The sequence below is a fragment of the Homo sapiens genome, chromosome 8, assembly GCF_000001405.40.
Source record: "Homo sapiens chromosome 8, GRCh38.p14 Primary Assembly".
Taxonomy (NCBI): Eukaryota; Metazoa; Chordata; class Mammalia; order Primates; family Hominidae; genus Homo; species Homo sapiens.
This window is the reverse complement of record NC_000008.11, coordinates 102,816,450-102,840,487: the sequence shown is the minus strand read 5'-3', so window position 1 is coordinate 102,840,487 and position 24,038 is coordinate 102,816,450. Positions and strand designations below refer to the sequence as shown.

The 24,038-nt window shown below is 39.4% G+C and overlaps 1 protein-coding gene across 13 annotated transcripts in view, besides 1 other annotated feature; it reads left to right on the top strand.

Annotated features, from left to right (window-relative positions):
* AZIN1 (antizyme inhibitor 1) overlaps window positions 1–14,186 on the top strand; it is a 37,899-nt gene extending 23,713 nt beyond the window's left edge. For 5 of the 13 annotated variants that reach the window (NM_001363010.1, NM_001363011.1, NM_001363012.1 and 2 more), the window contains 9 exons: window positions 665–838; window positions 1,572–1,744; window positions 4,098–4,232; window positions 5,741–5,822; window positions 6,225–6,299; window positions 7,270–7,432; window positions 10,555–10,667; window positions 11,002–11,216; window positions 11,810–14,186. In NM_001363010.1, the coding sequence (NP_001349939.1) occupies window positions 665–838; window positions 1,572–1,744; window positions 4,098–4,232; window positions 5,741–5,822; window positions 6,225–6,299; window positions 7,270–7,432; window positions 10,555–10,667; window positions 11,002–11,216; window positions 11,810–11,921 (1,242 nt within the window). In that variant the 3' untranslated portion in view covers window positions 11,922–14,186. Of the gene's footprint in view, window positions 1–664; window positions 839–1,571; window positions 1,745–3,946; window positions 4,233–5,740; window positions 5,823–6,224; window positions 6,300–7,269; window positions 7,433–10,551; window positions 10,668–11,001; window positions 11,217–11,809 lie in introns of all 13 variants that reach the window. The other 8 variants (NM_015878.5, NM_001363024.1, NM_001363083.1 and 5 more) reach the window with 4 other exon arrangements.
* Window positions 22,093–22,387: a silencer, noted in NCBI's record as "tiled region #950; K562 Repressive non-DNase unmatched - State 23:Low". NCBI's record gives its function as "represses a minimal TATA promoter and a strong SV40 promoter by Sharpr-MPRA in K562 cells {active_cell/tissue: K562}" and the evidence as "EXISTENCE:reporter gene assay evidence [ECO:0000049][PMID:27701403]".

The window sequence follows — 24,038 nt, the reverse complement described above, 5'->3', positions numbered from 1 at the left end:
CTGTAATCCCAGCACTTTGGGAGGCCTAACATGGGAGGATAGCTTGAGCTCCAGGAGTTGGAGGCTGTAGTAAGCTATGATTGCACCACTGCCCTCCAGTCTGTTGCTACAGAGCAAGACCTCAACTCTTGAAAAAGTAATAAAATAAGAGGTTTCCCAGTGAAGATGGTCTCTTATTTTACCATGTTGTCTTAAGGTGCAGTTTTAATGGCGATATATAGCTTGTTTTATTTAGCATTTCTGATTCTACTTACTGTATTAGGAAATTATATCCTGAACTGCCAAAGTATTTTAAACAGTGGGGGAAGCATGGGAGAAAATAGGTTCCCTTCCTTCAACTGCCAAAAAGTAAAATCAAGGCAGTTTCATTCTGACTTTTGTCACTGTAATTGATAATAGTTTTTTTATCTCAAAGGGGAGAATATTTTATATGCTAGTGTAGCACAGCAAAAGTAATCAAATATAAGAAGAAAGAACAAATGTATTCAGAGTCTCTTTTAATGTTTACTAAATCTAGTTAACAAGCTTTAAATGTATTACTGTATGTAAATATATGTCTTGACCCATATATTTGTGGAGGAAAAGAGGTGTTCTTTCCTGTTTTGATACTTGATTTTCAATGGTTTTTTGTTCATATTTGTCTTTTTTTTTATAACCATAATAGACAGGGAAAAATGCATTTTTTGTGGGAGATCTTGGAAAGATTGTGAAGAAACACAGTCAATGGCAGAATGTAGTGGCTCAGATAAAGCCATTCTACACAGTGAAGTGCAACTCTGCTCCAGCTGTACTTGAGATTTTGGCAGCTCTTGGAACCGGATTTGCTTGTTCCAGTAAAGTAAGTATTTTTCATTTTTTAACTAAACTGAAACATTGAATAATTTAACTTAATGTAGTTACAGCGGTTAGAGAACAAATGCAAGGAAGTTTGACTTTTGGATGGAGTTTCAAAATAATTGTTTAAATCTCCAGCCTCATGTTGGAAAATTACAAGCTTTTCAAGTGCACCAATGAAAGGGAAGTTTCAGTGTAATGAGCCTTTGAAACGTTTTATCTTTATTAATTGAAAACTTTAATTTGTTCCTCATTCTTAGGCTAGAGCTACTTCTAGACCAAACTACAGCAGATATCTAAACTCTGAGATTTCTTTGGTGCTTCTTTTTAGTAATGTTTAGGCCAGGAGCGATGGCTAACACCTGTAATCCCACCACTTTGAGAGGCTGAGGTGAGAGTTGCTTGAGCCAGGAGTTTAGGATCAGCCTGGGCAACATAGTGAGACCTCGTCTCACTTTTTATTTATTTATGTTTTTAAATAAAAATATTGGTTTGGCTAGGCACAGTGACTCATACCTGTACTCGTAGCACTTTGGGAGGCTGAGGCAGGAGGATCACTTGAGCAGCCCCAGAGATGGAGGCTGCATTGAGCTATGATTGTGCTATTGCACTTCAGCCTGGAATACAAAGAGTGAGACCCTGGTTTTAAAAGGGGTGGGGGTAATAGTATTAGAGGAAGCATTACCAGAATATGAACTGTGACATTATGTATTCTCACTTTAACCTCATTTTCACAGAATGAAATGGCTTTAGTGCAAGAGTTGGGTGTACCTCCAGAAAACATTATTTACATAAGTCCTTGCAAGCAAGTGTCTCAGATAAAGTATGCAGCAAAAGTTGGAGTGAATATCCTGACATGTGACAATGAAATTGAATTGAAGAAAATTGCACGTAATCACCCAAATGCCAAGTAAGTATAAAATTAAGTACTTGAAAATATTATTTAGCACTTAGAGGGTTGGGTTTGTCTTTTGTCTGGGAAGAAAGGAGCATTTGTGGTAGGGCAATGATGTGTATCATAATTATAACTTATTTAAAGGGCCTCTGTGGGAAACACTAGTAACATTTTATTGGCTCTCTACCTCTGATCCTTCATGTGGAATTGGAATTTAAAAAAATAAGAGCAGTTTGGGGATATGATCTAATAATCTTCAAGGAATCCTTGATAGTTGGTGTGATAATCAAATTAGGGCCATGGCTGTATTTTCATTATTTCTATAACTTTGTTTGATGTTTGATAACGTTAGGAACAGGATAAACTTTGGTCAGCATTTTTTCCTGTTTAGCTGAGGATTTAATCTACCCTAGGCCATAGTTCTTGAATGGTCATCTTTACTGACAGTGTCTTCGAAGCCTAGACCATAGATTTGGGGGGTTTTGTTTTTAAGGCTAATACTTTTATTTTTGAACATGAAGTTTAATTTTTTACTTGCATCTTCATGTATCCAGAGAATTTTTTTTTTTTCTTGATTAGAAAGTTTACTTTTTAAAGGCTGGGCGCAGTGGCTCACACCTGTAATCCCAGCACTTTAGGAGACTGAGGCTGGTGGATCATTTAAGGTCAAGGTGGCCTGCGCCTGTAATCCCAGCTACTTGGGAAGCTGAGGCAAGAGAATCCCTTGAACCCAGGAGCCGGAGGCTGCAGTGAGCCAAGATCGAGCCACTGCACTCCAGCCTGGGCAACAGAGCAAGACTCCCTCATAAAAAGGTTTACTTTTTTAAAAGCAAAAAGATTTAAGGCAAATTTTATGTTTTCACAAACTGGTATATCGAGAGGGCTTAAGAATATGCTAAAAGCATATTGAATTATGCAGTTGTTGGCTTACTTTTTAATGAGTTATGTGTGTTTCCGGAAATGAATTCTATCTGTATTTTCTTTGTATGTCTATAATTTTCATACTGACTTTAATGGTGTACTTAAGATATCCTGACAGCATTGATTACTCTGGTAAATCTTTGTGTGGATAAAAGCCTTGTTGGGAAAATTCTAGGGAACCACTTGTTTTTCTAAAAAATATTGTTCTGTGATCCTCTGAAGACAAGCTGTGATTTGTGATGTTTAGTATGTTAGATTGTGGACTGGCATCTTCTTGATGGAGCTGATTCTAACCTTAGAATAATTTTTGCTTTCATCAATCTTGTCCTCTGATTATCAAATTAGGGCCATAGCTGTATTTTCATGGCCATATTATTAACCTTCTTAGTTTATGTAATTATTACATCCATAGGAAAACAGTTACACAAAAAGAATTTGTATATTTTCAACTTCTAGCAGTTTGTAATTACTCAGCTCCTGAAATTAAAGAAATTTAATCAGTTTTAGTCATCTTGTCTTGGTTGCCATGGTTTGGAAGGAAATACCAAATAGATTTGAATCAGTAGACTAGAAGGCTGCTGTTTAAACACATGAAATAATTTTTTAAAAAGCTTTCTGGGTTGGGCGCAGTAGCTCATGCCTGTAATCCCAGCACTTGGGGAGGCCGAGGCGGGTGGATCACTTGAAGTCAGGAGTTTGAGACCAGCCTGGCCAACATGGTGAAACCCTGTCTCCACTAAAAATAAAAAAAATTAGCTGGGCGTGGTGGTGCACCCTTGTATTTCCAGCTACTTTGGGAGGCTGAGGCAGGAGAATTGCTTGAACTCAGGAGGCACTCTCATGAGGCGGAGGTTGCAGTGAGCTGAAATTGCGCCACTGCACTCCAGCCTGGGCGACAGAGTGAAACTCCATCTCAGAAAAAAAAGAAAAAAAAATTTAAAAAATGCTTCCTATTTTTTTCCAGTTAGAGACCTGCTGGGATGTAACAATGTTAGTAGGAAGAATGTTTGCAGTAACCATGGAGGTTTAGCTAGTTAGCACAATCAAAGAAATTTGAAGACATTTAAAGCCCTGATATTTTTATTGAAAGACAATGATGGCATTGCTATTCAATTTAGTCTTCCTAGGTGGATTTATGGACTGATGGACTTCATTTGAAAGTAATGTCGTCTTTCATTACAGAGCCCAACCAACTCTTGATGCTACAACAGAGTCTTAACTTGCTGCATTTTCCAAAATCCCATCCTTGTAAGCTTCATGCTTTAGGCCCTAATTGCTAGTTTTTTCTCTATACAGGATTGTTTTTCATTAGGTTCACTTGATTCATCCGTCGCTGGATTTGGGAGCACTGGCAACATAATCAACACACTTCCTACAATCTTCAGGCTTCACATGTGCTGATGATGATGTAAACCAACTCTGCCCCAATCATCTCCCCTTCTCTTAGGGTCTTACTACATATTGCAACAGAAGATAATATTGGAGGTGAAGAGGGTAACATGAAGTTTGGCACTACCCTGAAGAACTGTAGGCATCTCTTGGAATGTGCTAAGGAACTTGATGTCCAAATAATTGGGGTTAAGTGAGTATTTGTTTTAAACTTTTAAAGCTGTGAACATTTTATGGTGGTAACCTGTCTTTCTGGTTATTGATTTAAGACTTTATTTGCATGAAATCTAAGATGCAATTTTTTCTAGTCTTTTAACACACATGTATGTGTTTTCTTCTTAGTTTAGGCAAAACAACTTAAATATGCCTTGTCCCTTTTCATACTGTTTTGTGACTGTACCTCCTTCCCCACAATAAAAAGAATAGCAAATAATATTTTGATTCAGTTAGTGCAGAGTAACTTAAATCGCCGCCTTTTAAATTGGATGGGAGGGGATTTGCTAGAATTCTTAATGAAAATAAAAGTGTCAGACTTTTTTGTCCTTTTAACGATTACTCTGGGGGACTTCAATAAATTAGACTTTGCTTTAGCCTTTTAATTTTATATGTGAGGAAACCGAGACTCCAAGAGGTTCAAATACTTGATAATAGCCTCAGAACTAATTACAGGCATAGTAACACTAAGCCCTAGATGTTATTTGCCAGCCCATTGCTACTTTTACTAAAGTAAAAAGGTCTTGCTTTTTCAAACACTCACAAAGATGTATTGTGTATCTTTCTTTAATTTTATTATTTATTTTTTGAGATAGTATCTCATTCTGTCTCCCATGCTGGAGTGCAGTGGCACGATCACGGCTCACTGCAGCCTCAAACTCCTGGCTCAAGCAATCTTCCTGCCTTGGCCTCCCAAAGTGGTGGGATTACAGATGTGAGCCTCTGTGCCTGGCCTTATTGTGTATCTTTCTATACTACTTTGTACATAAATAGGTGGTAGTCTTTTAAACAAAGAATGGGATCATGCTGTGCCTTACACAATAGATAACATTCCATGTCAGTCTAGTTTTAAGTTTTAATTTAAGTCAACATAAAAATTAATGAAGTACTATCTCGAATAGATGAAGGGAAAAGAAGAATGGACTTTACGGGTACAGTTCTATGGATTTTAGTACTTGTGTGACCACTGCCACAATCAGGAAGTATTCTATTCTGAAACTTTATCACTAGTAATACTAGTGAATAATAGTAATGCTGTTACTCAGCTTGATTAATGTTCATTTTTATTTATTTCACAACAGACACATTTTTGTATTTGGTTGGGTAAAATTGAATGTTCAGTTTTATGCTCAACTGAATGTGATACGATTTGGTAGTGCTTGTTACTTCACTATATAAACATAAAAGTGCCACATATACATAAAAGCACACCTTATTGTATAACCGTGGAACAGTACTGATAATTGACTTATTGTTAAGAATTTTTGTTTATAGAATTACAGTTTTATCTTGGCATTGCCTTTTCTATAAAGCTGGTACTGTAACTTTTGGGTAATTAGAAGCTAATGCTTCTAATACTTTAAATATTTGGTAAAGTTAATGGGGATACTTAATGGTATGAATATGATGAGTGACAGTTGAAAGAAATTACAGGAGGTGTCTCTACAACTTTCTGCTCCTTTAAATTTAGTATTCTATGTGTTTCAGATTTCATGTTTCGAGTGCTTGCAAAGAATCTCAAGTATATGTACATGCTCTATCTGATGCTCGATGTGTGTTTGACATGGCTGTAAGTTCTTTCTTTTAAGTTATTTTGATATTTTATTTTAGCCAGGATGTTAAGTTAAAGACTAAGTATTTTCTGCCTGTGTGAATTACTCTGACTACATTCAACGTGACACACACCTCATTTTTATTATATAAGCATTCAGAGCTCTGTACAGTCACACCTTTTAAGCAGGTAAAGGAGTGAAATAGTAATTTACTTGCATAAGTCTAGAAGAGAGTACAAATAAAATCAAAGAGACAGCATACCTAACATTGAATAATCTGTTTCTATCAGTAAAAAACCAAGAATTTGCTGTACTAAAGATCAGAACAGATATTTACCTCCCTAGGAGGGGGTTTTTAAAATGTTCTCATATCCATTACAATTTGGAAAAACATTTAAATTTTTTTTTTCCATCTCTAGGGAGAAATTGGCTTTACGATGAACATGTTAGACATTGGTGGAGGATTCACGGGAACTGAATTTCAATTGGAAGAGGTAAACTTCTCAGTAGATGACATTAACAGAATAATTGCTTTCTTTGTTACTTAAGTGGTGGATGTGTAGAGCAGGATTTTTACAATGGCAGAAACTAAACCCTATAACATCTCTTTAAAATTATGTTCTTAGAAAAGGAATAGGCAGTTAGTAGACCTAGCTAACTTTGAAAAGTTTGATAGAATTCTTTGAACATTATCATAAAACATTTTCTATTTCAGTTGTGTTTCTGTACTTAATGGCACAAATGATTTAATACTTAGAAAACTTCACTACTACCTTTTTTTTTTTTTTTTTAAAGTCTTCCTGTGTTGCCCAGGCTGGAGTGGAGTGGCGCAATTATAGCTCACTATAGCTTCCAACTCCTGGGCTCAAGCGATCCTCCTGCTTCAACCTCCCAAGTAGCTGGGACTTAAAAAAAAAAAAAAAAAAAAATTGAGTCTTTCTATATTGCCCAGGCTGGTCTCGGAACTCCTGGCCTCAAATGATCCTCCTGTCCCCAAGTGATCCTCCTGCCCCAGCCTCCCAAAGTTTTGGGGTTACAGGTGTGAGCCACCACTCCCAGCCAACTTTAGCATTTAGGCCAGATACACGTCACACCTGTTTCTCACCTTCCTGCTCTGCCCTCCTTCCTTCTGTGATATCTAGAAACTATGATTTGAAAATTTTACTTCTGTTTTTAGTGATCAAGTATAGAAAAATGACTTAAAAAAAAACAAAAACAAATACCAGTGGGTATTTGTTATTAGAGCTATTTTTAAAATTAATGCCATTCTGATAGTTACAAAATAAACTGACTTGAAAGCATGCCTAATTAATTGCTTGGAGATAACTACAAAGTTGCTAAGGTTCATGATCTGTGATTGGAACTGCTTCATTTTCCTAGAAAATTTTGTTAATATCAATCTCTGAATATTGCGAATTATCTAATCCAATATTGAAACCATACTGTGGCATTTAAAATCCATAGGTTAATCATGTTATCAGCCCTCTGTTGGATATCTACTTTCCTGAAGGATCTGGTGTTAAGATAATTTCAGAACCCGGAAGCTACTATGTGTCTTCTGCATTTACACTCGCAGTTAATATCATAGCAAAGAAAGTTGTTGAAAATGATAAATTTCCCTCTGGAGGTAAGTTATAAAGTTTATAGTTTTATTTTTGTTGGTAGATAATTGCAGTTAGTCTGGAAATGAGCAGATGGTCATGAAGTTGTAGGTGGTTTTCAGCTTTTAAAAATCTTAAAACTGGCCGGGCGTGGTGGCTCACGCCTATAATCCCAGCACTTTGGGAGGCAGAGCCAGGTGGATCACAAGGTCAGGAGTTCGAGACCAGCCTGGCCAATATGGTGGAAACCCCATCTCTACTAAAAATATAAAACTTAGCTGGTCATGGTGGCGCACACCTGTAATCCCGGCTACTCGGGAGGCTGAGGCACAAAAATCGCTTGAATCCGGGAGGCAGAGGTTGCAGTGAGCCAAGATTGTGCCACTGGACTCCAGCCTGGGTGACAAGAGTGAGACTCCGTCTCAAAAAAAAAAAAAATCTTAAAGCCAAGGTCCCATTCCGTAAGACTTCCAAATCCAACTTTCTTGGTACTGATGTTTAGATACGTGTGTTTTAGATAAATGTCTAGCAGATGATTAATTCTCATCCATTATTCAGAACTACTTTTATTGTGATCTTTTCTGTTCTCCTTACCTCACATGGGTCAGAGGGAGGCTCTGTTTTCACACTTTCTCACATAAGGGCCACAAAGAGTCCCTGTAATCTAACTCAAGTCAAACCAACAAAAAGGCACTAGACAGTACCATCTTGTTGGCTAATATTGTAGGAAATACTGTTTTACATTAAGAAGACTTTTTTTTTTGGCTGTGGACTAATCCACAGCCCATAGGAAAGTTGTCCATTTCCCCAATATTGTCTTTTTTTTACAGCTTTGTTTTTCCTTGCTTAGAATCCAGTCCAGGACCACATTGAATTCGTCATTTCTCCTTGAATCTAGATAAAGTTTCTCAGCTCATTACTTTGTATTTTTTAACTTTGACATTTTTGAAGAGTAGAAATTTCATAGCTGATCCTTAGTTTGGGTTTGTTGGATGATTCCTCATGATTAATTTTTTAGGCTATGCATTTGGGGCATGAAGTCCACTAAAGTGTTACTCTGTTCTTCTCACTTCATCATGTTAGGAGGCACATGATAGTGGCCAATTCTAATATTGATGATGCTAGGTGTTTTTTCTTGTTGTTTTGTCGCCCAGGCTGGAGTACAGTGGCTCCATCAGGGCTCATTGCAGTCTCCACCTCCCGGCTTAAGCAGTCCTCCTACCTTCAACCTCTTGCATAGCTGGGACTACAGGCATATGCCACCATGCCTGGCTAGGTTTTTTTCTATTTTTATTTTGTAGAGGGTTTCGTCGTGTTTCTCAGGCTGGTCTCAAACTCCTGAGCTCAAGTGATCCACCTGCCTCAGCCTCCCAAAGTGCTGGGATTACAAACTTGAGTCAATACACCTGGCCTTATGATTTTTTTTTTTTTTTTTTTTTTGAGACTGTTTTGCTCTTGTTGCCCAAGCTGGAATGCAGTGGCATGATCTCAGCTCACTGCAACCTCCACCTCCCAGGTTCAAGCAATTCTCCTGCCTCAGCCTCCCAAGTAGCTGGGATTACAGGTGCGTGCCACCACACCCGGCTAGATTTTTTTTTTTTTTTTTAATTTAAATGCTAGTTTTGAGCACTTGTTTAAGGTTGTGTCAGGCAGGTTTCTTTCCATTGTGAAGTGGCAAGTTTAAATTAGAGACTCTGTAAACTACCTGTTTTTAACCAGATTTTCACCCCATTAGTTTTAGCATCTATTGTTGAATTTCTAACTTCATTATTGTTTATATTAGTTGGCCTTTACTTAAAGAATATCTTTTCCTTCCCTCCTGTTTATGAGTTTAGACTCATAGATCTTTATTCAATAGGTTTATATAATCTGTTACTCTTATTTTTCCCTTGACATGTCTCCATTATTCTCAGAGCAATTCGTTATTTTTTGGTATATCAAGATGTTCCAGGCTCATTTTAACCTTTTAAATGAGCCTCAGTCCCGTAATCAGTTGTTTCTCCAGGGAGCCTTGGTTTGTTTTCGTGGAGAGTGATATTTTAAAAACCTGAAAATTAGTATTGGTTGTGCTAAGAGTAGAGTAGCTGTGAGTAGAATGGGCGTTTTCAAAGGTTTCAAAGTGAGGTGAGAGGATCTATTGATCCCTGAAGCTCGAGGCTGCGGTGACCTGTGATCACGCTACTGCACTGTAGCCTGAGTAACAGTGAGGCCCTGTCTCTACACACACACACAGATTCCCACTGGCAGTGTATACATGTGAGCTCTGGTTGCTCCTCCTGCTCTCTGATGTTTTGTAGTGTCAGTCTTTAAGTTGATCCAGTCAGTAGGTTGGTGGTAATGGTAGTCCATTGTGGTTTTAATTTGCATTTACCTGATGACTAACGATGTAGAGCACTGTTTTCTTTTTCTTTTTCTTTTCTTTTTTTTTTTTGTTTTTGAGACAGGGTTTTTGCTCTGTTATCCAGGCTGGAATGAGTGGCACAATCTCAACTTTTATTTTTAATTCTACATTCAAACACATATTTAACTCCTTGTGCATATATTGCCTTCCCCTTGCTGATTTGAAAAGAAACTAAAAAGTGTTTTTCCTTGCTGCTTCATTTCCTCTTTTTTTGAAACAGCAACTATCAGAAAGTCTTCTAGAATCTTAATACTTTTTTCTTTTTTTTTTTTTTTTTTTGAGACAGGGTCTCATTCTGTCACCCAGGCTGGAGTGCAGTAGCACAGCCTTGGCTCACTGTCTCACTGTCTTACTGTAACCTCCGCCTCCCGGATTCAAGGGATTCTAGTGCCTCAGCCTCCCAAGTAGCTGTGATTACAGGCATGCACCACCACACCTGGCTAATTTTTGTATTTTTAGTAGAGATGGAGTTTTGCCATGTTGTTCAGGCTGATCTTGAACTCCTGACCTCAAGTGATCCTCCCACCTCAGCCTCACAAAGTGCTAGGATTACAGGTATGAGCCACCGCATCCAGCCCTAGAGCACTCTTTTCTTGTGCTCATTGGTTATCTTCCTTTGTGAAATGCGTGCTCTATGTGTCTTTTTAAGTTTAAATAGTTTGAGAAATGTGAAAATTACATTAATTTGTTTCATATGAGCCATTTTATTAAAAATTCATTTTCCCCTTTCCTGTTTTATTCCAGTAGAAAAAACCGGAAGTGATGAACCAGCCTTCATGTATTATATGAATGATGGTGTTTATGGTTCTTTTGCAAGTAAACTGTCTGAGGACTTAAATACCATTCCAGAGGTTCACAAGGCAAGTTTTATCAGAAATATCAAAACCTATTTGGCATTTTATAAGCTGAGCTGTTATTTTTAAGATGCTTCCCAGTTTTTTGAAAAACATCTTAGAATGGGGAAAAATGTCCTTTTTGAGGATTTGCGTTCTTCTGGTGGAGTCCCTTTTTTAGTTTGTTGCCTTTACGTGGAGTTAATGGTACCATCGAGGCTTAAGTAGCACCCTGCCCTTGGCTCTAGGCCTTTTTTCCATGAGCACATTGGATCTGAGACAGTGAAAATACTTATTTACTCACAAATTCAATACCTGCGTAAGTATGAGTAAAAATTAAATTGTAAAACTTTTCCTACAGAAATACAAGGAAGATGAGCCTCTGTTTACAAGCAGCCTTTGGGGTCCATCCTGTGATGAGCTTGATCAAATTGTGGAAAGCTGTCTTCTTCCTGAGCTGAATGTGGGAGATTGGCTTATCTTTGATAACATGGGAGCAGATTCTTTCCATGAACCATCTGCTTTTAATGATTTTCAGAGGCCAGCCATTTATTACATGATGTCATTCAGTGATTGGTAAGGTGATTTTATTTTAAGGCAGATGGGATATTTGAACTGTCCTTTTAGACTTGCTAATAAGTTTTAATTCTGTAATGAATGCTAAACTTAGAAGTACAGTCATGTATTGCCTATACAGTGTAGTTACTTAATGATGGGAATTTGTTCTGACAAATACAACATTAGGCGATTGTATGATGGCATAACCTACTACATAATCTAGGCCATGTGGTATATTGATCCTAGGCTACAAACCTGTACAGCATGTTACTCTGTTTAATACTGTTGGCAGTTGTAATGCAGTGGCGTTTGTGTATCTTAAGTTACTTAAACATAGAAAGGATAATACATTGTGCTATGACATGATTGCTGCGATGTAACGAGGTGATAGGACTTTTTAAACTTCACTGTAATTTTACGGTATACCACAGTCATATGTGTAGTCTTTGACCAAAACATCACTCTGCAGTGCATGACTATCATAGAAAAATGATGATCTTTTAAAGGTTTTTGGAAGACTAGTTATAATCCTGTTTTATTATCCATTTGTTATGTGATTACGTGGTCTTTGGGCTTAAACTGAGAATTTAGCTGATTTTTTTTCTACGTAGGTATGAGATGCAAGATGCTGGAATTACTTCAGACTCAATGATGAAGAACTTCTTCTTTGTGCCTTCTTGCATTCAGCTGAGCCAAGAAGACAGCTTTTCCGCTGAAGCTTAAACAGGCATTAACGCTTCTTTAGATCTGAAGTTGCAGGTTAAGCTTGTCTGGTCAACATTCCAGTGTGGAAAAATAATTTAAACAATCTTATTCTCTTAATTCTTTTGGCAACAAAAACTATTAGTAATAGCTATTTGGGACCAGACAAAATCAGCTTTCATCTATAATTCATTGGGGATAATGGGAGATTTAGATAATGTATCCAGATTTAAACCTACCAGTTTGTCCTACCCCTTAAGCGTTTAAAATAAAATATGCAACAAAATGGATGACTTAGTGGAGATGGAAGCCCATTAATTGGGTTCCCCATTAAATCGTTTACATACAAGAACACAGTTTTTATACTAAGGATTTGTGTTTAAAGTCTTGTAAAGTTCATGTCTTTCACCCAGATATATCAAATGTTAGAAGACCAGTGTGACTTCATTAGATAACGTTTAGTGTATTTAGAATGTGTAAATTTGTGCTTTGAACTGTAGTTTAATAAATGTAAAATTGCATCATAGTATTTGTTGACCTAATGTAACCCTTGTATGATTGCAATAAAATTTTGTGTAGATTTTACTGTTTTTTCAGGCTAAAACTTTGGGAAAGGGGCTAGCTAGCAAAGGTAGTTTTGAAATAGATGTGTATATGGACTGTTTTGAAGGGTTTTTTTCTTTATAGCCCAGTTAAGTTTTGTTTGGCTCGGTGCATTTTTCATTTATTTAATTAGTAATTTAAGTAAAGTGTTTGGTAAATCATTGTGAAGTTCAGATTCATTATGGAGAGTTGATGTGCAGTAAGCATGATGTTTAACAATTTTAACACCAAAAATGTTAATCCTGCATAAATCAACTGTAATAATAAATAGGTGTTTCTGTATAGATAGAATGCATAGAGTACCTTAGTAAATCTTTGAATCACAATCTTTTGGCTGAAATGGAAGATTCTGTTAAATACTTTGAATAAACTTGGGGGGAGGGAAATAAAATTGCAGAAAACTGCAGAGCACTAAAACTTAAAGAAGGGCTACATCTTTATCCAGAAACCTGTTGCTCTTTTGCACGGAATGTTTAAATTCAGAGTTGGGATGGGGGTTGGGGTGAAGCACACTTATTATCTTCAGTTGCAGTGATTTCAAATTTAGGATTTTTTGTTGTTGGTTTGAACTGTCCCCTTAGTTTCTTGTTATTTCCAATTTGTTCTGCTTAGTCATTACTTTTAATTCTTTTCTTACTAAAATTTTATGGTGGTTGGGGGAAGGGAGTTAGCATCACTAACCTGACAGTTGTTGCCAGGAATTTGCTTTGTTTACTGCTAGTATATTAGAAATCCTAGATCTCAGAATCACAATAGTAATAAACAACAGGGGTCATTTTTTCCTAACTTACTCTGTGTTCAGGTGTGGAATTTCTGTCTCCCAAGAGGAAATGTGACTTCACTTTGGTGCCAATGGACAGAAAATTCTACCTGTGCTACATAGGAGAAGTTTGGAATGCACTTAATAGCTGGTTTTTACACCTTGATTTCGAGGTGGAAAGAAATTGATCATGAATCTCTAATAAATTTAAATCTCTTAAACCAGTAGGTGCTTAATATTTTTTGATTTGATTAATGCCCATTTAAATCTCATGGGTTCTATTAAAAATATATATATATAGGGCCCCAATCCATTGCCATCAAATTGCCCTTGGACTTTTCCAAGGTATATTATGGGGTTTTATGCAAAATTCCAAGCTACCATGTAACTTTTTTTAACCATTTAACAAGGAGGGGGAACTGTTTCCTACCTTCTTTACATGTTGTGCATTGTTGTGGTCCAGAAATGCCAAACCTTTTTAAAGATGGTGCAACTTTGAGTCCTTGGCTTGACTATACAGGCCTTGAACTTCATGGCATATCAACTTTGCCATATCTGCAGGAGAGCTGTTCTATAAGAAATAGCTCAGAGTTGCAAATATCACATGTGAATGATACGGTAACTTTTAAGAAATGTCTGTATTGTATTTGAAGACTGTTTGCCATAAATCTGAAATTTGAACCTATGTATTTCAATTTGGTATGCTAAAAAGTTCTGAATTAATGTAAAGTTTTTTGTTATAATATTGTAATCTCAGTTCAAAAGTTAACTGCAAATATAAAACCCAATGATTTCTATATAGTAAATTGAACTGTAAAGGTAACTTGTGTGTGATTCTGAATACATAGATAAATGTTTTTATTCCTCATGTTTTACTTTGGCTTCTATCTGAAATAGAGGTAAAATTTTACATATCAGCTTTATGTGTATTAACAATCTTGCTTTATTAGAAAGAAAATTGATTCTGCTAAAAAATGCTGGAAGTTATATATAGAACAGTGAAATTTTGGTAAAGTCCAGTATATATGTGAGCACTGTTTCCAGGACAGCCTTTTCTAGACACTTCAGTTCACTAGCCTCCTAACAATTTAAAACCCGGACTAAATGAATAGATTGACAAATTAAGCTAGATTTATTCCAAGTAAATATGGGCATTAATACCATTAAATGGAAATACTGGGTTAGAGAAGCCACACATTGCTTAATTCCTTTTTTCTTCTTTTTAGAGTATATATTTTAGTTTCCTAACCTGTCTTGGCCTTAAGAAGTCTTCTGAACTCTGCTGAAATGAAAAGCATCATCTCTTTGTTCTTTGAACACTTTAGTTAACTGGGTGACTTAATATTTTGGGGAGTAACTTTAAATTCAAAGATTTACTTAATTATTCAGGCAATGCACTAGTATAGGGTGGTGGTTAAAGGTGTAGACCTTGCCTCCAGTCTGCTTGACTCAAATCCTGCCTCTGCCATTTACTGTCTGTATGAACATAGGCTAGTCACCTAACCCTTTTGTGCTTCGGTTTTCCCAGATGGAAAATCGTGGTAAGGCCAGGCACAGTGGTTTATGCTCGTAAATGCCAGCACTTTGGAAGGTTGAGGTGAGAGGATTGCTTGAGCTCAGGAGTTCAAGACTAGCCTGGGCAATGTAGGGAGACCTGTGTCTCTCCAAAAAAATTCAAAATTAGCTGGTAGTCCCAGCTACTCAAAAGGCCAAGGTGGGAGGATTGCTTGGGCCCAAGAGGTGGAGGCTGCAGTGAGCCGCGATCACACCACTGCACTCCAGCCTGGGCAACAAAGTAAGACCCTATCTCTAATAAGAAAAGAAAGAAAATGATGGTAGTAAAAGTAGCAGCTTCATAAGGTTATAAGGATGTAACAGTTACAAGGTGCTTAGAACTGGCTGGCACACAGGGCTCAATAAACGACCCTTATTACCTATTAGATTGATTATACTGATTTGGACAAGTTGCTCTGGGCCTTGGTTTCTTGTCTGTAGGATGAAGACACTAGAACTTAACCTTACCAGGCCTTGAAAGTGCCTGGCACATGGATGCAAATGGCAGATACTGCCAGTGGTTGATAGCTTGGTATTAAGATCTCTTTAGCATGTACTTGACCATTCTCTTTTGTCCTTGTAAGTTGGACTTTTGGTTGGGCATCAGAGAAGGTTTTGTATTGCTGCCTTTTAGTTGATTTAATTTTAATGTAACCTTATAGTATTAAAGCACAGGCCAGGCACAGTGGCTCACGCCTGTAATCCCAACAATTCAGGAGGCTGAGGCAGGCAGATCACCTGAAGTCAGGAGTTTGAGACCAGCCTGGCCAACATGGTGAAATGCCATCTCTACTAAAAATACAAAAATTAGCCAGGCATGGTGGCGCACACCTGTGCCAGCTACTCGAGGCTGAGGCAGGAGAATTGCTTGAACCTGAGAGGCAGAAGTTGCAGTGAGTGGAGATTGCACCACCGCACTCCAGCCTGGGTGACAGAGCAAGACTCCATCTCAAAAAAAGAAAAGAAACACAGTAATAGTAGAAACTTAAATTGGCAGGAATCAAAATGTAAAACAAAAATTAGTCTTCTACATTTGAGTTGTGAGTAAATCCTATGAATCGCATCCATCCTGAGAGGAAAAAGGTGTGATGCAAGTAATTACGGCAGCAGGCTTTCATAATGAGGATAAACCTGGCCTAGGAACAAGCAACGAACTAGTTCTGGTCTTTACTGGCATTTGCATTAAGTTAAAGCTAACCTGAAAAGTCTCAGTTCCTACTCAGACATCCGGAGAAACTTTTCTCTTTGCATACAGATGGCCTCTACTACACATATCTTCTAAATCATAGTGCATGTCTTCACCCAGAAAGGAGTGGAACACAAACCACCTAGACTCAAAAGGCAATGTGACTTTAGTGTTACACAGTTGAAGATTTTGTTTTATTTATCGGAAACAGACTGTAAAAAGTTTTTTTTTTTAATGGCAATTTGTAGAAAGCTTAATCTACACAGCATGCTTCATTTTTTGTGGTCTTGGGGTACTAAATGGAGAGAAAAAGAACATCTTTCATACGCCTGAACTCCTTTACCTATGTATGTAATTGTCATCAGCTTTAAAAGCAATTCCATTGTTAAGTGGTCTTTCAAACCCTGATTCTACCATGATACTGCTTATGTCTGTCAAAACCCTTTGCAGTTGATTTGTTGATGGCCTGAGAAGATTAGCACTGGATCAGTTATGGGCAATTAAAGAGTTAAGTATCTGCTATTGAGTGACAGATGAAGTGATTGCACATTGGCAGTAGAGCAAAGGGGTTGTGTAGATGTGCTAAAGATACTGCAATATCTTATTTAGATTATTTTTAACCCCAGAGTCCAGCTAACCTTTATTTGTAAATAATGGTGCCCAACTTCATCTGGTGCGTACCTGTGCCTACAACTTTGTCCCCATTCAGTTTTTAGCAGCAATATGCAGAGGAGGGGACACTTGGCTGAAGTTTAAGAATTTTAGTTCTGTGAGTTGATTGGTTTTCTCCCATCTATTTTCTATTTTATGTTTCTCAAATTGCTCTGCTTTCACCAGGTATGGTGGGGTGGAGGATTCTCAGCTCTATTCCAAGCCTTCTGTCTTCCACTTAGGCAATTTTAAACTTCTGAGCCAAGGTTGCAACAATATGTTTTATCGCTAAGAATGTTCTTTTTTCCCTTCATCACTTTGGTCCCCTTTCCTCCAGCTCTGGACAATCTAAATTGTCTTGTTTTTGTTTTGAGACAGGGTCTCACTCTTGGCTCACTGTAACCTCTGCCTCTCGGGTTCAAGTGATTCTCGTGCCTCAGCCTCCCGAGTAGCTGGGATTACAGATGCATCACCACCATGCCTGTCTGGTTTTTGTATTTTTATTAGAGAGGGTTTCACCATGTTGACCAGGCTGGTCTCAAACTCCTGACCTCAGGTGATCCACCTGCCTTGCCCTCCCAAAGTGCTGAGATTACAGACGTGAGCCACTGTGCCCTGCCTAAATTGTCTTGTTTTATAATCTGTAAATCTTAACGATTCTAAGCATTCCCTGTATCTGAGTGGGGACTAAAGAGCCAACAGGCAGCTCTGAGTGCATGAGTGCAGTTTGTCGACTGAAAAAATGATCTGTCCCAGCTGATTAGTTAGGGAACTTTGTATGACATATGATTGGTTAGGGAATTTTTATGCCATTATGTCAAGGTCTTAGCTGATTCTCAATCAATTTGTATCGTGCCTGAAGGGTGATAGACCGTCTACCAGCATTCTAGAACCCAGCAGGGTGAGGGTTGGGCCTCTGCTTTCAGTGTAACACACCCCTGCCATCCCAGAGACTGGGCTACCTTTTCTAGAGAATGAACAAATGAGAGAGGGCTGTTGCCCAACTGCGCAGTGTAGGGAAAAGGATCTGGGATTTGAGTGGTTAGACAGATTCATCCAATCCTTATTTTGCCCCCACCTCCAGGGGTTTGGACTGCTGCCAAGTCCTTCATTTTTTTTTTTTTTTGGTTTTTTTTTTTTTTTTAATTTCTGAGTTTTTTTTTGCCCCCACTGCTGGCCTTGGTATTCCATTTCCTGAAGCTGCTAAATTATAAACTAATCTGTCCATTTTCTAGCTTGCTTTTTTTTTTTAATCTCTCGATTTCTCCATCCTGGTGAGTTTCGCTCCTTTTAAATGCCGTTTTAGTTAGGGAAGGAACAAGGATAGGTATGCATTTCCAATCCACCAGTGATTATGTGCCCCTCAATATGTACCACATGCGTAAACCTAATTGTCAAAACAAGGGCCTTTTAGATTTTTGGAGACAATCCAAACTCTCCATCTGCCTCTCGGAACTAAATTTGGGTGGTATTTTAAAGGTACTCTGGTATCAGCACAAGATAATAAGAATAATACATGAAGTTTTATACCTTTTGTGGATTGATGGTACAGGTAACCAACAACCCTTTACCATAGTGATATACAGAAATAGAGTTTTAATTTCTGCATTTAAGTGGTGTGTGTGTGTGTGTGTGTGTGTGTGTGTGTGTGTGTGTGTGTGTGACGGAATCTCGCTCTGTCGCCCAGGCTGGAGTCCAGTGGCACGATCTGGGCTCACTGCAAGCTCCGTCTCCTGGGTTCACACCATTCTCCTGCTTCAGCCTCCTGAGTAGCTGGTACTACAGGTGCCCGCCACCACACCCGGCTAATTTTTTGTATTTTTAGTAGAGACGGGGTTTCACCGTGTTAGCCAGGATGGTCTCAATCTCCTGACCTCGTAATCCGCCCGTCTCGGCCTCCCAAAGTGCTGGAATTATAGGCATGAGCCACCTCGCCCAGCCTATCTTGTTTTCTAAACGTAATGAGTTGGGATGCTTTTAACTTGTAAGTTAGGTAATAGTCTTTGAAACATATATATTCTGTGCTTTTTAAATTTTTATTTAAACAGTTTCTGTCACCAGGCTAGAGGGCAGTGGCGCCATCTCTGCTCACTGCAACCTTTGCCTCCCGGGTTCAAGTAATTCTGTCTCAGTCTCCTGAATAGCCAGGATTAAAGGTGTGTGCCACCACACCCAGCTAATTTTTCTATTTTTGTTTTTTTAGTAGAGAAGGAGTTTTGCCCGGCCATGCACTCCAGCCTGGGTGACAGAGTGAGACTCCGTCTCAAAAAAAAAAAAAAAAAAAAGTTTTGCCATGTTTGGCCAGGCTGGTCTTGAGCTTGTGGCCTCAAATGATAACAAGCATAAGCCACTGTGCCCTGCCTACTCTGTGGTGTTTTTATGTCACAACAAACCTGTCTCAATGCACTCAAGGCATTTTCTCTATGTTTAGTGCCCAGTAATGCCTTTCCGATTTCATTACTTCGTGATTTAAACCTAACCTTCCATACTGTTAGATTATCAACAGAAATGAAGTAAGAGCATTTTCAAAGTTTGGTTTTCTCCTTTCCTAATTCTATGATTCTGCTGGAGGCAAGAATATAAACAACACTTTAAAAGCTTGCTAGAGGAGGGAAGAGAACTTTAGTGATCCCCAAAGAAAGACTGTATATATGTATGTATGTATGTACGTATGTATTTTGAGACGGAATTTTGCTCTTGTTGACCAGGCTGGAGTGCAATGGTGCGATCTCGGCTCACTGCAACCTCCACCTCCTGGGTTCAAGTGATTCTCCTGCCTCAGCCTCCCGAGTAGCTGGAATTACAGGCATGCGCCACCACACCTGGCTAATGTGTTTTTAGTAGAGACAGGGTTTCTCCATATTGGTCAGGCTGGTCTCGAACTCCCGACCTCAGGTGATCTGCCTGTCTCGGCCCCCCAAAGTGCTGGGATTACAGGCGTGAGCCACCGCGCCCGACAGACATCATTTTTAAATGTTAAAAAAGGGTTTAGGTAACATTAGCTGCATATTGCCCCAAATGACTGAGGATTTGGGACCAATGTATAGGAGGTCAGTCAGGGAAGGGAATAGTAGTGCAGAGCTTATGAGAAGTTCACATTGAGGAGGAAAATGGTGCTGTCCTTTCCAATTGGCATGATGCTACCACTCCCTTTTATGTATTGCTATAACTTGACATATGCTTTCCTAAAAATCACTATGTGAAATTGTACAAATTGAAAAAATGGGGTTCAGGCACAGCACTCAAACTTTGTCAGTGCAACATTACAAAACTGATAGAAACTAATTAAAAATGGAGTACAGTTTGCACGCGTTAAATGGTAAAGAAATACACAAATATTACAATCAATGTAGCACTTTACCTTGAAGAAGACCCACAGTTTGAGGAAGTGGAAGGGTTGCAGCTTGTGAATTGTCAGATGGTAGGGTGTCTTGGTTCACTTTGTGTTGCTATAACACAATACCACAGACTGGGTAATGTATATAAAGGAACTTATTTCTTACAGTTCTAGAGGCTGAGAAGTCCGAGGCTGATGGGCCCACATCTGGTGAGGGCCCTCTTGTGTCATCCCATGGTGGAAGGCAGAAGGGGAAGAGAGCAAGATGGGGACCAAGCCCACTCGCACAATAACTGACCCACTGCCGAGATAATTACATTAATCTACTGATGAGGGCAGAGCCCTCATGACATAATCACATAATCACCCCTTAATGAGCCCACCTCTCAACACCGTTGCAATGGGGATTAAGTTTCCCAGAGTAACAATGGGTTATACTACTAATAACTTAGTTCCGACCTTTAGTTCCGCCTGTAAATTTCATAAGGGGAATAGAGTTGCTGGTAATGAAGTGTTGAGTAAAATCCTTGCTTTGAATCTCTCTGTTCCTAGGCCTTTATTCATTCAAGGTAGAAACTAATCGTTGGCTTTTCTTGTGTATATAACCTCAAGCTAAGACATGGGAAAAGCAGGTCTTTATATACATCTTTTAAGTCGAAAGTGAAGAGATCTTTTAGGAAAAGCAGCAAGGACCCTTCCTGAAGGTAAGGTATTAGAGGAGTGAAGTAGTAGGTGTGGCAAGGTTACCAATGTCAAGCCTTTCAAGGGGTCAAATAAGTATCTCTTGATATGCCTTATCTATATGACCCAAATCTTTTAGCTATTTCAAGGTTTGACCTTCAATCTTTATGTTCTTACACTTATGGCCATAGGCCCGGATGGGTAATGGGTGATAAGAAAACTGAACTGATGTTGACCTCTTTAAAAAGCAGAGGACTCCTATTTCCTTAACTGTAAGCTCTGTGCTGTATTGTGGCATGAATGAGAAGACCAACATTACTGTAATTGTATAATAATAGCAGCAAGGAAGTTCCATTGCCCAGCTAGGGGACTGCAGGATCATGCAACCATTGCAACACTGTTTCTGGCACTGTTCAAGGGCTTTGGTTAGTAACCTGTTTAGTCTTCTACATGAACTCAATCTTCAGAACCATCCTATGAAATAGAGACTCATGGCCCCATTTTACAGACCTTAAGAAGGTCATATAGGCCAGGCGGGGTGGCTCACACCTTATAATCCCAGCACTTTGGGAGGCCAAGGTGGGCAGGTCACTTGAGCCCAGGAATTTGAGACAGCCTAGGCAACATGGTGAAACCCATCTCTATGTTAAATAAAAATATTTAATATATTTTTTTAATTTTTGTTTTTTGAGACGGAGTTTCACTCTTGTTGCCCAGGCTAGAGTGCAATGATGTGACCTCAGCTCACTGCAACCTCCGCCTCCTGGATTCAAGCGGCTATCTTGCCTCAGCCTCCCAAGTAGCTGGGATTACAGGTGTGTGCCACCACGTCCAGCTAATTTTTGTATTTTTAGTAGAGATGAGGTTTCACTATGCTGGCCAGGCTAGTCTCGAATTCCTGATCTCAGGTGATCCACCCGCCTCGGCCTTCCAAAATGCTGGGATTACAGGTGTGAGCCACCGCGCCTGGCCTTAAAATATTTTAAAATAAAATTAAAAATTGTTATAGATAGCTAGGAGTAAGTGGTAGAGTTAGGATTGTAGCCCGGCAGGCTGGCTCTGGATCCGGTCTCTTCCCCATGATCCTACAGTACATCACTCAGATTTCACCCACATTTTGAATTGCCTATAGGAAGTTCCATTCAGATGGAAAACCCAGACACAAAACATTCTGTGAAGCTCTGTGTCTTCAGCACTTTTAAAATTTTTGTTCACTGTTATTTTCAAATTTAAAAACCCTACAAACCTGAAGAGAGTGATCAACTCCACAGTTATCATTAATCATGTAGTATTGTGCGTGTAACTGCTGAAGCTGTCATTTTTACCACTTCCGCAAGAACTATTGGCACCATCTAGGGTTTGTATGGGAGTTCTGGAGCTGGGATGGCCCTTCAGAGTTGAACCAAACTGAGACAGGACAGCTGGGACTTTATCCCAGCATTAGCCAGTCATTGGCTACAGGCCACTCCTTTCAAGGAGGCATAACCTTGGGCAAGCCGTCCCTGTGACAGAGGCTAGTTCCCAGTGATGGACACAGTTATATGCTGATTTCCAGTGAAGAATGCAGCCATGAGCTACAACTGCGAGTCTGCAGCAGCTGACAGTGCCGGTAGCAGGGGAATGGGTACATGGGACCTGCACATGCAACTGTGGTGCCGTTTTCCAATCATTAAAAGAAAAAAGTTGGGAGGCCGGGTGCCCATAATCCTAGCACTTTGAGAGGCTGAGGTGGGAGGAACACTTCAGCTCAGGAGTTCAAGGCTGCAGTGAGCTCTGATGGCACCACTGCACTACAACCTGGGCTACAGAGGGAGACCGTGTCTCGAAAAAAAAGGTAAAAATTTAAAAAAAGCCTGTGCCACGTTGTCTGCTTAACAAGGTCAGAACCACGGTTTCTGCTGATGTGTGTACTAGCTTGTTAGGGCTGCCCAAACAATACACAAACTTTAAACTGGGTGGCTTAAACATCAGAAATGTGTCTCACAGCTCTGGAGACCAGAAGTCCAAATGGTCAGCAGGGTTGGTTCTCTCTAGGGCTTTCAGGGAAGCCTCCGTTCCTGGCCTCTCTCCTTGGATTGTAGGTGGCCATCTTCATGTTCACATGCTTTTCTCCCTGCACACTGTATGAGTCTCTCCAAATTTCCTCTTTTTATGACACTGGTTATATTGGACTTGTTCTCACCTTAATGACCTCATGTTAATTGGACTAATTACATCTGCAATGACCCTATTTCCAAATAAGTTCACATTCTGATGTACTGGTGGTTGGGATTTCAGTGTATGAATTTTGATGGGGACACAGTCCATAACAAGTATGTTTGGTCATTCGGAACAGAAGCACTGTATTGACCCTTGACCCCTGACTGGCCCCTGCACGTCCACTCCCAGCCCTTCTCAGTCACTGTTCCTTTCCCTTTCCCTCCTTCCCTCTCTCCCTCCCTTCCTTCATTCCTCTCTTTCTTTTTGAGATGGATACTTGCTCTGTCACCCAGGCTGGAGGTTAGTGGCATCATCACAGCTCACTGCAGTATTGACCTCCCATGTTCAGGCGATCTTCCCACCTCAGCCTCCCGAGTAGTTGGTACCATAGGTGTGCAGAACCACACCTGGCTAATTTAAAAACATGGTTTTTTTTTCTGTAGAGATGGGGTCTTGCTACGTGTCCCAGGCTGGTCTCGAACTCTCCTCTCATTTTCAAGCTCCCATTGCATTCCTGCTCTCTTTTGTCTTCTTTGTTTCCCTATAAAGTTAGATCGTTGTTTTTTCCCCATTATAAAATCTTTTAAATGATCAAAATTCCAGCAATAAAGTATATAAAAGCTATTTTTAAAAATCCCCTGACAGCTTTCTAACAGACTCCTGCCTTAATATTGTGTGGCACTGCCTTCTAGACACCTCCCTATTTTTATTCTGTCATTCAGCCCCCTTTTCTCCTCTTCCCAAACCAGGAAAAGTCTGAGTTTATTATTTTTTTGAGACAGAGTCTCACTCTGTTGCCCAGGCTGGAGTACAGTGGCATGATCTCGGCTCACTGCCAACTCCACCTGCCAGGTTCAAGCGATTCTCCTGCCTTAGCCTCCTGAGTAGCTGGGATTACAGTCACCTGCCACCACACTCAGCTAATTCTTGTATTTTTAGTAGAGACGGGGTTTTGCCATGTTGGCCAGGCTGGTCTCGAACTCCTGACCTCAGGTGATCCACCCACCTTAGCCTCCCAAAGTACTGGGATTACAGGTATGAGCCACTGTGCCCAGCCAAAAAGCCTGAGTTTATTGTTAACGCTGACTGCCAGCATTTTTTCTCCACACTTCCAATTCTTTTACGCCTTTCCCTTTCTAATAATACAGCCAATAGCCTTCAGATATT